The 13,875-nt window shown below is 42.1% G+C and overlaps 1 long non-coding RNA gene and 1 pseudogene across 1 annotated transcript; both read right to left on the bottom strand.

The window, feature by feature from the left end:
- Positions 1–855: 855 nt before the first annotated feature.
- Positions 856–6,233, bottom strand: LOC105378673 (uncharacterized). Its single transcript, XR_947235.2, has 3 exons — positions 5,763–6,233; positions 1,375–1,440; positions 856–1,106 (listed from the first exon to the last, which is right to left on the bottom strand). It is a non-coding gene; the product is annotated as an uncharacterized LOC105378673 (long non-coding RNA).
- LOC100328982 (eukaryotic translation initiation factor 2 subunit gamma pseudogene) lies at positions 8,367–10,082 on the bottom strand (annotated as a pseudogene).

Genomic DNA, 13,875 nt, shown 5'->3' with positions numbered 1-13,875 from the left:
ACCCTTGCTTCCCCAGACAACTTTTAAATATAGTTTTGATTATTAAATGACTTTATTAGTTCCTATTTAGGCTTCCAGTGTGACACTATGCAAATATAAGCAAATATGGATATAATTCTCATTCTCCCTTACACAAAATACTCTGTGTACATATTTAATATATTTATATATACATACATACATACATTGTTCTTTATCTTGCATTTTTTCATTTAATAACATATCTTGGAGATATTTCCATTTCAATGAGGAAATTTTGCTTACTCTTCATTGGAGCTGCATACTATTCCACTATGTGGATATCTAGTTTACTAAGCCAGTCCTCTATTGACATACATTTGTGTTGTTTTCCATTTTTTACTAATGGAGACAATGCCGAATGTTTTCAAAGCACATGTGCAAGTGTATCTGTGGGATAAACTCCCAGAAATGGGGTGTTTGTCTTGGAAGGCAAGTGTATCTACAGTTTTGGTAGATGCTGTCAAATTGCTCTCCAAAGGAATTATTCTATTTTGTGCCTGCCCACAGCAGTCTGAGAATGCCTGTTTTTCCACAGCCTCACTAACAATGGGTTTTAAAACTTTTCAATTTCTGTAATCCCAGCACTTTGGGGGGCCGAGGCAGGCAGATCATGATCAGGAGATCAACAGTATCCTGACTAACATGGTGAAACCCTGTCTTTATTAAAAATACAAAAAATTTGCCAGGTATGGTGGCATGCATCTGTAGTCCCAGCTACTCAGGAGGCTGAGGCAGGAGAATCACTTGAACCCAGGAGGTCGAGGTTGCAATGAGCCGAAATCGTGCCACTGCACTCAAGCCTGGGTAACAGCGAGACTCCATCTCAAAAAACAAACAAACAAACAAACAAACAAAACAAACAGACAAAAAAAAACCTTTTCAATTTTTTGCTAACCTGATAGGTAGGAAATGGTGTCTCAGTATGGTTTTGATTTTCATTTCTCATATAATGAGAAAGGTAGAACACCTTTCCAAAAATTTAAGGATCATTTGTATCTCTCTCTGACAAGTCTCTTCATATTTTCCATGCTTTTTCTTCTTGATTTCTAAGAGCTCTTGATAAATAAGGCAATGGATCCCTTTGTCTGTAATATGAATTGCAAATATTTTCAACAGTTTGTAATATTTTACTCCATTTGTATTCTTCCTCTGGGAGCTGGTAAAGGGGAAAACCTCTCTTTTTTAAAGCCCTCCCTCTAGGTTTTTCTTTCCCATTCAATATTTATTCATACATTAATTTATTTGAGGAATTCAATAGAATATGGTTGAAAGCAGTGATTGGAAAAAAAAACCATTTCATAATCTTATATGCGCCATTGAGCTGACACTCTACAATAAACCAGTTACACTTACTTTTGCTTACTTTTGCTATTTGCCAAGCAATAGTATTGGGAAACATTCAAGATGGCTTGCAAAATCCTGAAAAGCATAAAATAGAAAATAAAAACCACTCATTGATACTATTAATATATTAGTGTCTTTCCAGGTTTTTCTTATATGTATGTATCTTTAACATCCTGCTATAACTTATGTACATTTACCTGTCATTAAAAATAATCCAAAAATATAATTTTTCTTGCTAGAGAATAATGAATCATATATAAATATTATAATTTACAGAAAAACATTTCTGTTATTGTAATGTAAAATTTTTCCTTTTTTAAAAAATACTAAAAATAACATGGTAATATATACCTTTTATACATCATTCATCTGATTATTTCCTTAATGTAGTTCTTAGATGTAAAATTTCTAAGTCAAATGGCAGAAACATTTTAAAGGCTTTTGATATATGTTGCCAAACTGTGTTCTGGACAGGATGCTGCCAAAGTATTCAGGGAAAATTTAATTCAGTGAAATGCATTTATTAGAAAATAAGAATAAATAAGCTCTAACTCAAGAAACTAGAAAAATAATTATAAACTTAAAAGAAGTTTATAGAAGAAGGCCAGGTGCAGTGACTCACATCTGTAATCCCAGAGGTCCAGGAGGCCAAGATGTGAGGATCACTTGAGGCCAGGAGATCAAGACCAGCCTAGGCAACATAGCAAGACCCTATCTCCAACAAAAAAATTTAAAAATTAGCCAGGAGTGGTGGTGTGCGCCTGTAGTCCTAGCTACTTTGTAGGCTGAGATGGGAGGATCCCTTGAGCTCAGTAGTTCAAGGTTACAGTGAGCTATGATCATGCCACTGCACTCCTGCCTAGGTGACAGGGAAAGAGCCTGTCTCTCTAAAAACTAAACAAACAAAAACACCCCAAAACAAACAAAAACACCCTAAAATAAGTAGAAGGATTTAGTAAAGATTTTAAAAATTAATAAAATAGAAAATAGCACCAAGAAAGAAGCATAATGTGTCCTGATTAGGAAAAACATAAAAAACTCATGCTTAGATACATTTAGTGAAATGGCAGGACATTTTTCTGCCTCTGAGGATTTTGCTAAACCTCTTTAAAGATAAAGAGATAATCTTGGCTGGGCGCAGTGGCTCATGCCTATAATCCCAGCACTTTGGGAGGCTGAGGCGGGCAGATCACTTGAGGTCAGGAGTTCGAAACCAGCCTGGCCAACATGGTGAAACCCTGTCTCTACTAAAAATACAAAACAGTTAGCTGGGCGTGGTGGTGCGCGCCTGTAATCCCAGCTACTTGGGAGGCTGAGGCAGGAGAATCGCTTGAACCCGGGAGGTGGTGGTTGTAGTGAGCCGAGATCACGCCATTGCACTCCAGTCTGGGTGACAAGAGCGAAACTCCATCTCAAAAAAGAAAGTAGAGTTCCCATATACCCTGCCCCCATACATGCATACCTCCCTCACTGTCAACTTCCTGTACCAGAATGGTACATTTGTTACAACTGCTGAATCTACACCCACACATCACTCAACATCCATAGTTAACACTAGGCTTCATTCTTGGTGTTGCACATTCTGTGGGCTTTGACAAATGTATAATGACATGTCTCCACCATCTTAGTATCATAAAGAATATTTCCCTGCCCTAACAATCTGTGCTTTCCCTACTCATCCTCCCTCCCCGCTAAACACTGGAAACCACTGATATTTTTACTTTCTCCATAGTTTTGCCTTTTCCAGACTGTCATATACCTGAAATCATACAGCACATGTAGCCTTTTAGTTTGGCTTCTTTCACTTAGTAATATGCATTTAAAGTTCCTCCATGTCTTTTCATGGCTTGATAGCTCATTTCTTTTTAGCGCTGAATAATATTCCTTTTTTTTTTTTTTTTTTTTGAGATGGAGTCTCACTCTTGTTGCCCAGGCTGGAGTGCACTGGCATGATCTCCACTCACTGCAACCTCTGCCTCCTGGGTTCAAGCAATTCTTCTGCCTCAGCCTCCCGAGTAGCTGGGACTACAGGCATGCACCACCATGCCTGGATAATTTTTGTATTTGTAGCAGAGACAGGGTTTCACCATGTTGGCCAGGCTGGCCTCAAACTTCTGACCTCAGGTGATCTGCCCGCCTTGGCCTCCCAAAGTGCTGGGATTACCAGCATAAACCACCACGCCCAGCTAATATTTCATTTTTTAAGAGAATACACTTAGTGAAATTCCATCCTACATTTTATTTTTAAGCATCTGTATTTTCTAAAATTTCTGTAGAATAAATATATTTTCAAATCTAATTTTTATAATTTGGTTTACATGTAAGATGATGTTACCAATTCAGACCTCATTCAAATGTCGCCAGTTTTTTTTTTTTTATACTTTAAGTTTTAGGGTACATGTGCACAACGTGCAGGTTAGTTACATACGTATACATGTGCCATGTTGGTGTGCTGCACCCATTAACTCGTCGTGTAACATTAGGTATATCTCCTAATGCTATCTCTCCCCCTTCTCCCCACCCCACAACAGGCCCCGGTGTGTGATGTTCCCCTTCTGGTGTCCATGTGTTCTCATTGTTCAATTCCCACCTATGAGTGAGAACATGCGGTGTTTGGTTTTTTGTCCTTGCGATAGTCTGCTGAGAATGATGGTTTCCAGCTTCATCCATGTCCCTACAAAGGACAGGAACTCATCATTTTTTATGGCTGCATAATATTCCATGGTGTATATGTGCCACATTTTCTTAATCCAGTCTATCATTGTTGGACATTTGGGTTGGTTCCAAGTCTTTGCTATTGTGAATAGTGCCGCAATAAACATATGTGTGCATATGTCTTTGTAAATGTCGCCAGTTTTATATGCACTAATTTGTGTGTGTATTTAGTTCTGTGCAATTTTATTACCTGTGTAGAATTGTGTAACAAAATAAGGAACTATTCTATCGTAAGGATTCTTTGTGCTACCCTTTTTACAGCCAGACCCATCTCACTTCCCACTTCCTCTCTCCAGTCCCTGGCAACCAATAATCTGTTCTGCATCTTGATAATTTTGTCATTTCAGGAATGTTATAGAAATTAAATCACACAGTATGTAACTTTTTGAGATTACCTTTCTTTACTTAGCATAATTCCCTTCAAATCTATCCAAATTGTTGTGTGAATCAATAGTTCATTCTTTTTATGCTGTGTAGAATTCCAAAGCATGGATATACTCCAGTTTGTGTATTCGCTAACTGAAGAGCATTGATTTGAGAAGGTTTTGATTTGACTGAGTGTTTTACACAATCGCAGTGACTGCCACATGTAAAACAGGCTGGGATGTGGAGAGTAGGAGGCTCTTCAAAATGAGAGAAAGGGAGGGGGAGACAGAGAGGCACAGTGGGTTAATTAGGGTAACAACAGTGGAAGTGGTGAGGAGTGGTTGGATTCTGAATGTACTTTGATAGTAGAGCTGACAGATTTGCTGACGGATTGATCTGGTGGTGAGAGAGAAAGAAAAATGGGGTGGCTCCAAGGTTTTTGGCCTAGGCAACTTGAAGGATGCAGTTTCCACTTTATTGTGAGAAAGAGAAGATAGAGGGAGAACAAGTTGGGAGAGAAAGGGGGCAAATCAAAAGACAGTGAGATAGTATTTTCCCCACTCTTCAGGTAGGTGAAGAATAAAAAGATTAGGAGTTGTGAGAGTGTGGAGAACGGGGATTCCCATGACAAGAATAGAAATTAATTCAAACTTCTCAGGGGGCAAATTTATAGTAGATATATAAATCTCTGATCCATCAATTCCTCTTCCAGAGATTTATCCTATAGAAATACTGGAACAAATACTCAAAAATATAAGTACAAGGATATTTATTTCAGGAAAGAAGGAAGAAAGGACAGAAAGAAGAGAGAAAGAAAGGAAGGAAGGAAAGAAAAAGAAAGAAGAAAAGAAAACAAATAGGGATGTAGAAACTTGGAGGGTTTTTTTTCAGGGGGTGGTGGGGGTCTTGCTCTGTCACCCAGGTCCAGTGCAGTGGCATAATTATAGCTTACTGAAACCTCAAACTCCTGGGCTCAAGCAATCCTCCCACCACAGCCTCCCAAGTAGCTGAGACTACAGGTATGTGCCAACACACCCAGCTAATTTTTAATTTTTTTGTAGAGACAGGGTCTAGGCTCCTAGGCTCAAGAAATCCTCCTGCCCTGGCCTCCTAAAGTGCTGGGATTACAGGAGTGAGCCACCACATCTGGCCCTGAAACTTGAGTTTTTACTTAGATAGAAGCATTTTATTTCTTCAGTCACGATTTGGAAATTCTGATATTTGAATCTCAAGCCCTAGCTTTGTTAAACACTTAAGAGTCCACAGCTTTTTACAACCAAGGAAAACAGAATTCTCCAAAGAGTAGTTGTCCTCACCCACTATGACCAGGTTGCCATAGATCTCCAGCATCACTTCTCTGTAAAGGCCCTTTGTGCATAGTCTAGTTGCCCCCATTCCTCTTTGGTGAAGTCCATGGCCACATCCTTGAATGTAACAGGTTCCTAAAACACCAATGAACAGGAATTCCTCTTCGGTGAGCAAGCATCTACAGCAATGCATGTGGTACACAGGGTCCACCTGGCAACACTGGGGGCGGTAGATAACCTCAGAGTTCGCCTCAAGCCATAAGAATAATTAAAAGAACAATTTAAAAAATGTAGAAAGATACATGTGTCATATGCAGAGGCTCACTAACCTTAATAATCTGAAGAGCTCTTAAACATCAGTCAGAAAAAGATAAAATGCTCTGGTTAAAAAATGGACGAATGGACAATGACCTGATAATTCCTAGAAGAAAAACAAATGGCCAATAAACAGACAAAAACATATGCTGCCTCACAAATCATCAAGGAAATGGACACTCAGGCTGGGCGCCGTGGCTCATGCCTGTAATCCCAGCAGTTTGGGAGGTCGTGGCGGGTGGATCACCTGAGGTCAGGAGTTCGAGACCAGCCTGATCAACATGGAGAAACCCCGCCTCTACTAAAAATACAAAATTAGCCGGGCATGGTGGCACATGCTTGTAATCCCAGCTACTCGGGAGGCTGAGGCAGGAGAATTGCTTGAAGGCGGGAGGCAGAGGTTGCAGTGAGCCAAGATCGCGCCATTGCACTCCAGCCTGGGCGACAAGAGCAATACTCCATCTCAAAAAAAAAAAAGAAAAAGAAATGTACATTCAGATAACAATGAGACATTATTTCTCTCAACCCATTGGGCAAAGATTAAGACTTATAATATTCATTAGTGAGGGTATGAGGAAACAGATACCCTCATATGCCGTTGGAAGGAGTATCAATTGTTATAAACTTTTTTTGGGGAGCAATTTGGCAATATTTATTAAACATCTTTTGACCCAGCAATTCCAATTTCAGAAATTCATCTTCATTAAGATAACTAATGACTTCCTTGCCACTAAATCCAATGGAAAGTTTTCAATCCTTTTTATACTTGATTTCTTGACATTATTTGGCCCTGTTGACTACACAGTCTTCCTCAAAACTCTTTCCTCTCATAGTAACCTGGTTTCCTCTCATAGTAACCTGGTTTTTCTCTTACCTCTCTGATCACTCTCAATCTCCTTTACTCATCAATGTTGGGGTTCCCCAGGTTGGAACCTAAGCCCTCTTCTTACTCTACTTACTCCTCCTATGTGATGTCATCTATTCGTATAGCTTCAAATGCCATTTGAATGCTGACAACTCAAATGTACACTTGCAGCTGAGACCTCAAGCCAGACAGTTACAGACCCAAGTACGTGCCAGATGAATATCCAGTTTGAAACACAGTGCCTGACTTAGAATAGGTAATCAATAAATATCTACCCAATGAAACAAACACCTACTTGGATGTCTCAAAGGCATCTAAATTAACATGCTAAATTCCAACTTTATCTCCTGCTTTTCTTTCATGTTTAGGAAATGATCAGGAAATTGAGTTCAGGAAATCATACCTCCAACCACCAAAATGTTTAAGTCAGAAAAATATGAGTCATCCTTGATTTCTTTTTCTCCCTCCTCCCTCACATCTGCTCCATCACTAAATCTAAATATCTCTTTGCTGGGTGTGGTGGCTGACGCCTGTAATCCCAACACCATGAGAGGCCCAAGTGGGAAGATCATTTGAGCCCAGGAGTTCAAGACCAGCCTGGGCAATATAGGGAGACTCCATCTTTACCAAAAAGAAAAAAAATAAGGCCAGGCGTGGTGGCTCATGCCTGTAATCCCAGCACTTTGGGAGGCCGAGGCAAGCAGATCACCTGAGGACGGGAGTTCGAGACCAGCCTGACCAACATGGAGAAACCCCATCTCTACTAGAAATACAAAATTATCTGGCTGTGGTGGTGTATGCCAGCTACTTGGGAGGCTGAGGCAGGAGAATCACTTGAACCCAGGAGGCGGAGGTTGCAGTGAGCTGAGATTGCGCCATTGCACTCCAGCCTGTGCAACAAGAGTGAAAAATCCATCTCAAAAGAAAAAGAAAGAAAAAAAAATAGCTGGGTGTGGTGGCATGCACCTGTAGTCCCAACTACTCAAGAGGCCGAGATAGGAAGATCACTTGAGCCCAGGAGGACGAGGCTGCAGTGAGCCATGATTGCACCACTGTGTTCCAGCCTGGGTGACAGAGAGAGACCTTGTCGCTAAATAAATAAATAAATAAGTATCTCTGCTGCCACCACTTTTTTCTGAGCCACTGTGATCTCTCACCTCTCCTCCTAGTTGGTCTATATACCATGTTGCCTTTCTGCAATATAATCTCCTCTTTTTATGCCCATTTCTTAAATATTTGTGTTCCTCAAGGTTCTTCTCTGTTTCTTTTTCTTCTCTTCTTACGTATCAACCAAGTCCATGGCTTTAATGACCAATCTATGGTGACAACTCATAAATTTGTACCTTTACCCGGGATCTCTCTCAGACCTTGATATCTACTACCTACCATCTAGACTTCTTTAATTGGATGTCCCACAGGCACTTCAAATTTTTTTTTATTTACAATTGTTTTATTTGTGTTCCTCATGCTACAACACAACCTTAAAAGTCAGCCAAGTATATAACATTAATATGCCTCCTCAAAACATCAACTTAGATAACCCATAGCCAGAGCTTCTAAACTTCTACAATGCAACTTCAACATTCAAAAGAGCACAATATGCTTCAAATCCCATCTCAATGCAAATTTAAGAAAAGCAAAGCAAATTGTATTATCAGACTACGAAAACTCAGTACGATTCTGTAATTTAACATACTACTTCTCAACTCTCTAAATTTGTTTCTCAACACTGGGGAGAGTTTTTAAAGATATCAGTGCCTGAATTCTACTCCAAGCCAATCAAATCAGAATCTCTCTGGGGCATTTTTTTGTTAAAGCTTCCCCAGCAACTCTAATGTCAGCGAGAGTTGGGAATCACTGCTTAACAGAACCTCTTATGAAGCAAAAACATAAAGAAAAATAAGCCGGGCACAGTGGCTCACGCCTGTAATCCCAGCACTTTGGGAGGCCAAGGCGGGCAGATCACCTGAGGTCAGGAGTTTGAGACCAGCCTGGCCAACATGGTGAAACCCCATCTCTATTAAAAATATAAGTATTAGCTGGGTGTGGTGGCACGTGCCTGTAATCTCAGCTACTCGGGAGGCTGAGGCAGGAGAATCGCTTGAACCAAGGAGGCAGAGGTTGCGGTGAGCCCAGATCGTGCCACTTTACTCTAGCCTAGGTGACAGAGCGAGCCTCCATCTCAAAAAAAAAAAAAAAAAAAAAAAAAAAAAAAGATAAAGCACAGGAAGTAAGTATAGGGACATGGGGAATAAGTTAAAAATCAAAAGGACTCACTCATTGCTTTCCAACATCTTTTTCTTCTTGACCTTTTGAAACGTCCAAAAATTCGTAATATTACAATCTGTGTCATGATAATAAAACAGTTAAGAAAAAAACATAAAATGAAGGCCTACAAAGATCTTTGTTATTCATCTAGAATTATTTGGTATAACAGTATTTTCTAATGGAGGAAGACTATTGGATTTCAGGCATAAAACAATGCAGAAAAAATCTCAAGGCATCACAGGGAGAGGGAGATAACTTCTGACTCTGGTTTCCTGTGTTTCAGGCCAGGAAGAGCAAGGGGAGAAAAAGATTTGTCCATGGGAACAAGTACTCATGCTCTAAAGGACAATTTCATTTGAACCCACTAATTTCCTTTTCATGAAAAATTTCAAAGATAAAGCAACATAAAATATGAGGACAAAGAAAAGGGAGACGGTCTTCAAGGAGAATTTGTGCCTTTAAGTTTTTACTGGTACCTCAGTCCTTCAGCCTGGAGCTACTCAAAGATGAATCATGAAAAAGAAAAAAACTGTATTTCAAACAGGTTCAGTGGTGTATGTGTGTGCTACAGCAAAAGCTGGTTGTAGCAAAGTTTCATTTCAAACTGTATGATTTGGGCTGCGCAAGGTGGCTCATGCCTGTAATCCCAGCACTTTGGGAGGCCAAGGTGGGCTGATCACCCTGAGGTCAGGAGAGACCAGCCTGGCCAACATGTTGAAACCCCATCTCTACTAAAAATACAAAAATTAGCCAGGTGTGGTGGCACGGGCCTGTAATCTCAGCTACTCAGGAGGTTGAGGCAGGAGAATCGCTTGAACCCAGGAGGCAGAGGTTGCAGTGAGCCGAGATCGTACCACTGCACTCCAGCCTGGGTGACAGAGTGAGCCCACCGCTGCACTGTGGGAACCCCTCTCTGGGCTGGCCTAGGCTGGAGCCGGCTTCCTCGGCTTGTGGGGAGGTGTGGACAGAGAGGCGCGGGCGGGAACCGGGGCTGCGTGCCGCGCTGGCAGGCCAGCGCGAGTTCCGGGTGGGCGTGGGCTCTGCGGGCCCCACACTCCAAGCGGCCGGCTGGGCGCCGCTGGCCCCAGGCAGTGCGGGGCTTAGCACCCAGGCCAGCAGCTGCGGAGGTCCCCCAGCAGTGCTGACCCGCCAGCGCTGAGCTCGAATTCTCGCTGGGCCTCAGCTGCCTCCCCGCGGGGCAGGGCTGGGGACCTGCAGCCCGCCATGCCCGAGCCTCCCCCCCGCAGTGGGCTCCTGCACGGCCGGAGCATCCCCGATGAGCGCCACCGTCTGCTCTGCTGTGCCTGGTCCCATCCACCACCCAGGGGCTGAGGAGTGCGGGCACAGGGCACGGGACTGGCGGGCGGATCCACTAGGTGAAGCCAGTTGGGCTCCTGAGTCTAGTGGGGACTTGGAGAACTTTTATGTCTAGCTGGAGGGCTGTATACACACCAATCAGCACCCTGTGTCTAGCTTAAGGTTTGTAAATGCACCAAACAGTGCTTTGTGTCTAGCTAATCTAGTGGGGACTTGGAGAACCTTTATGTCTAGCTAAAGGATTGCAAATACACCAATCAGCACTCTGTGTGTAGCTTAAGGTTTGTAAATGCACCAATCAGCACTCTGTATCTAGCTAATCTGGTGGGGACTTGGAGAACCTTTATGTCCAGCTAAGGGATTGTAAATACACCACTCAGCACTCTGAGTCTAGCTCAAGGTTTGTAAACACACCAATCAGCACTCTGAGTCTAGCTCAAGGTATGTAAACACACCAATCAGCACCCTGTATCTAGCTCAAGGTTTGTAAACGCACCAATCAGTGCCCTGTGTCTAGCTAATCTGGTGGGGACTTGGAGAACCTTTATGTCTAGCTAAGGGATTGTAAATACACCAGTCAGCACTCTGTGTCTAGCTCAAGGTTTGTAAACACACCAATCAGCACCCTGTGTCTAGCTTAAGGTTTGTAAATGCACCAATCAGTGCTCTGTGTCTAGCTAATCTGGTGGGGACTTGGAGAACCTTTATGTCTAGCTAAGGAATTGTAAATACACCAATCAGCACTCTGTGTCTAGCTCAAGGTTTGTAAACACACCAGTCAGCACCCTGTGTCTAGCTCAAGGTTTGTAAACACACCAATCAGTGCTCTGTGTCTAGCTAATCTAGTGGGAACTTGGAGAACTTTTGTGTCTAGCTCAGGGATTGTAAATGCATCAATCAGCTCTCTGTAAAACAGACCAATCAAAACAGACCCTGTCAAAATGGACCAATCAGCTCTCTGTAAAACAGACCAATCAGCTCTCTATAAAATGGACCAATCAGCAGGATGTGGGTGGGGCCAGATAAGGGAATAAAAGCAGGCTGCCAGAGCCAGCAGTGGCAGCTCACTGGCATTCCATTCCACCTTGTGGATGCTTTGTTCTTTTGCTGTTTGCAATAAATCTTGCTGCTGCACACTCTTTGGCTCCACAGTGCCTTTATGAGCTGTAACACTCACCACGAAGGTCTGCTGCTTCTCTCCTGAGGTTAGCGAGACGCCGACTCCAACAGGAGGAATGAACAACTCCGGACGCGCTGCCTTAAGAGCTGTCACACTCACTGTGAAGGTCTGCAGCTTCACTCTTGAAGCCTGTGAGACCATGAACCCATCAGAAAAAAGAAACTCCGAACGTGTTTGAACATCAGAAGGAACAAACTCCGGACACACCATCTTTAACACTCATCGCGAGGGTCTGCGGCTTCATTCTTAAAGTCAGTGAGACCAAGAACCCATCAATTCCGGACACAGCTGGAGTGCAATAGCGCGGTCTCAGCTCACTGCAATCTCCATCTCCTAGGTTCAAGCAATTCTCCTGCCTCAGCCTCCTGAGTAGCTGGTTATAGGCATGCACCACCATGCCTGCTAAGTTTGTAGTTTTAGCAGACACAGGGTTTCTCCATGTTGGTCAGGCTGGTCTTGAACTTCTGATCTCAGGTGATCCACCTGCCTCTATCTCCCAAAGTGCTGGGATTACAGGCATGAGCCACCACACCCGGCCACATGCATTAATTTTTAAAGACAATAACCATATGTGTTGCTTAGGAGTTTGGGATCCGTTTTCGTTTTTTTTTTTTTTTTTTTTTTTTTTTGTTCTGGAGGCAGGGTCTCGCGCTTTGTGGCCCAGACTGGAGTGCAGTGGTGTGATCATGGCTCACTGTAGTCTCAACCTCCTGGGCTCAAGCAATCCTCCTACCTCAGCCTCCTGAGTAGCTGGGACCACAGGTGCATACCACCATGCCCAGCTGATTTTTTTTGTTTTTTGTAGAGACAGGGTCTCCCCGTGTTGCCCAGGCTGGTCTCGAACTCCTGGGCTCAGACAGTCCTCCAGCCTCAGCCTCCCAAAATGCTGAGATTACAGGCATGAACCACCGCGCCTGGCCCAAAACCTTTCTAATAAATTTTACTGACAGTCTTTTGATCCTCATTTTCACAAAATGTAAAGTTTTCATTTGATCCAGAAGATATCATTCGTATTTTCAAGGCAATTTGTAGATGCTTGGACCATCTTATAGACTAACAAGTGCAAACTTAGCTGCATTCACACCTCAATAGAGCAGCTGAGCATTAAAATACCCTTCATAAGAACTGGTAGTTTTGCCAATAAGTAGGCAGGTGTTTTATCAACTGAAATTGTTTTATAGGATTACTTAAAAGCCAGTACTTTCCTTCCCGGTTATTGCGCTATAAAACATATGAATAAGGATGTGCTAGATCTTTGAGTATGGTTATTTGTATTTATTATGGTTCTAAGAAGAAAAAGTAAGTTGCATTGTGAGATGTCACAGAGTAAAATTCACTGTCTTTTGTAAAGCTTTGAAATAATTTACTAGTGGTTTTTCAGTCTTGAAATTCACGCATCAGCATAATGAATGTTTAGTCTGTAATAATTGTAACCCTTGTTTTTTAAAACTATATTATATGTTACTTAAAGGCAGATTTAAAACATATATTCTAGGCTGGACACGGTGCCTCACACCTGTAATCCCAACACCTTGGGAGGCTGAAGTGGGCGGATCACAAGGTCAGGAGTTTGAGACTAGCCTGGCCAACATGGTGAAACCCTGTCTCTACTAAAAATACGAAAATTAGCGAGGCGTGGTGGCACGCACCTGTAATCCCAGCTACTCAGGAGGCTGAGGCAGGAGAATCTCTGGAATCTGGGAGGCGGAGGTGCAGTGAGCCAAGATTGCACCACTGCACTCCAACCTGAGCGACAGAGCGAGACTCTGTCTCAAAAAAACAAACAAACAAACAAAAAAACATAAATTCTGAATAGCTATCCACTCTCTCAATCTTGTACCTGAATCATCACAAACCCATTCATTGCAGTACAGTGAATTAATGCAAAATTACTAAATCTAGAGACATAGCAACTTAAGAACCAAAGCTGATCAGAGTAAATTCCCAGTAATTAGATATGTTCACATAGTAGCAATCATTTTCAATCCTTAATTAAGACAAGTTTTTGGGAACTGGTTGTGAAAATGAACGTATTTAAGTTGGTCTCCAAAATACAGAGACTTTTAGCATTTTGACTTAGTTTGAATATAGGGAGCTTGACAATATTTTGCTAAGGAGTTTGCTTTACAAATTTACTCAGGTACACACATAAAATTGGCTTTGTTCTTAGTTAATAA

The sequence above is a fragment of the Homo sapiens genome, chromosome 1 (assembly GCF_000001405.40).
Source record: "Homo sapiens chromosome 1, GRCh38.p14 Primary Assembly".
In the NCBI taxonomy this organism is placed as follows: domain Eukaryota; kingdom Metazoa; phylum Chordata; class Mammalia; order Primates; family Hominidae; genus Homo; species Homo sapiens.
This window is presented reverse-complemented; position numbering and strand designations above follow the sequence as displayed.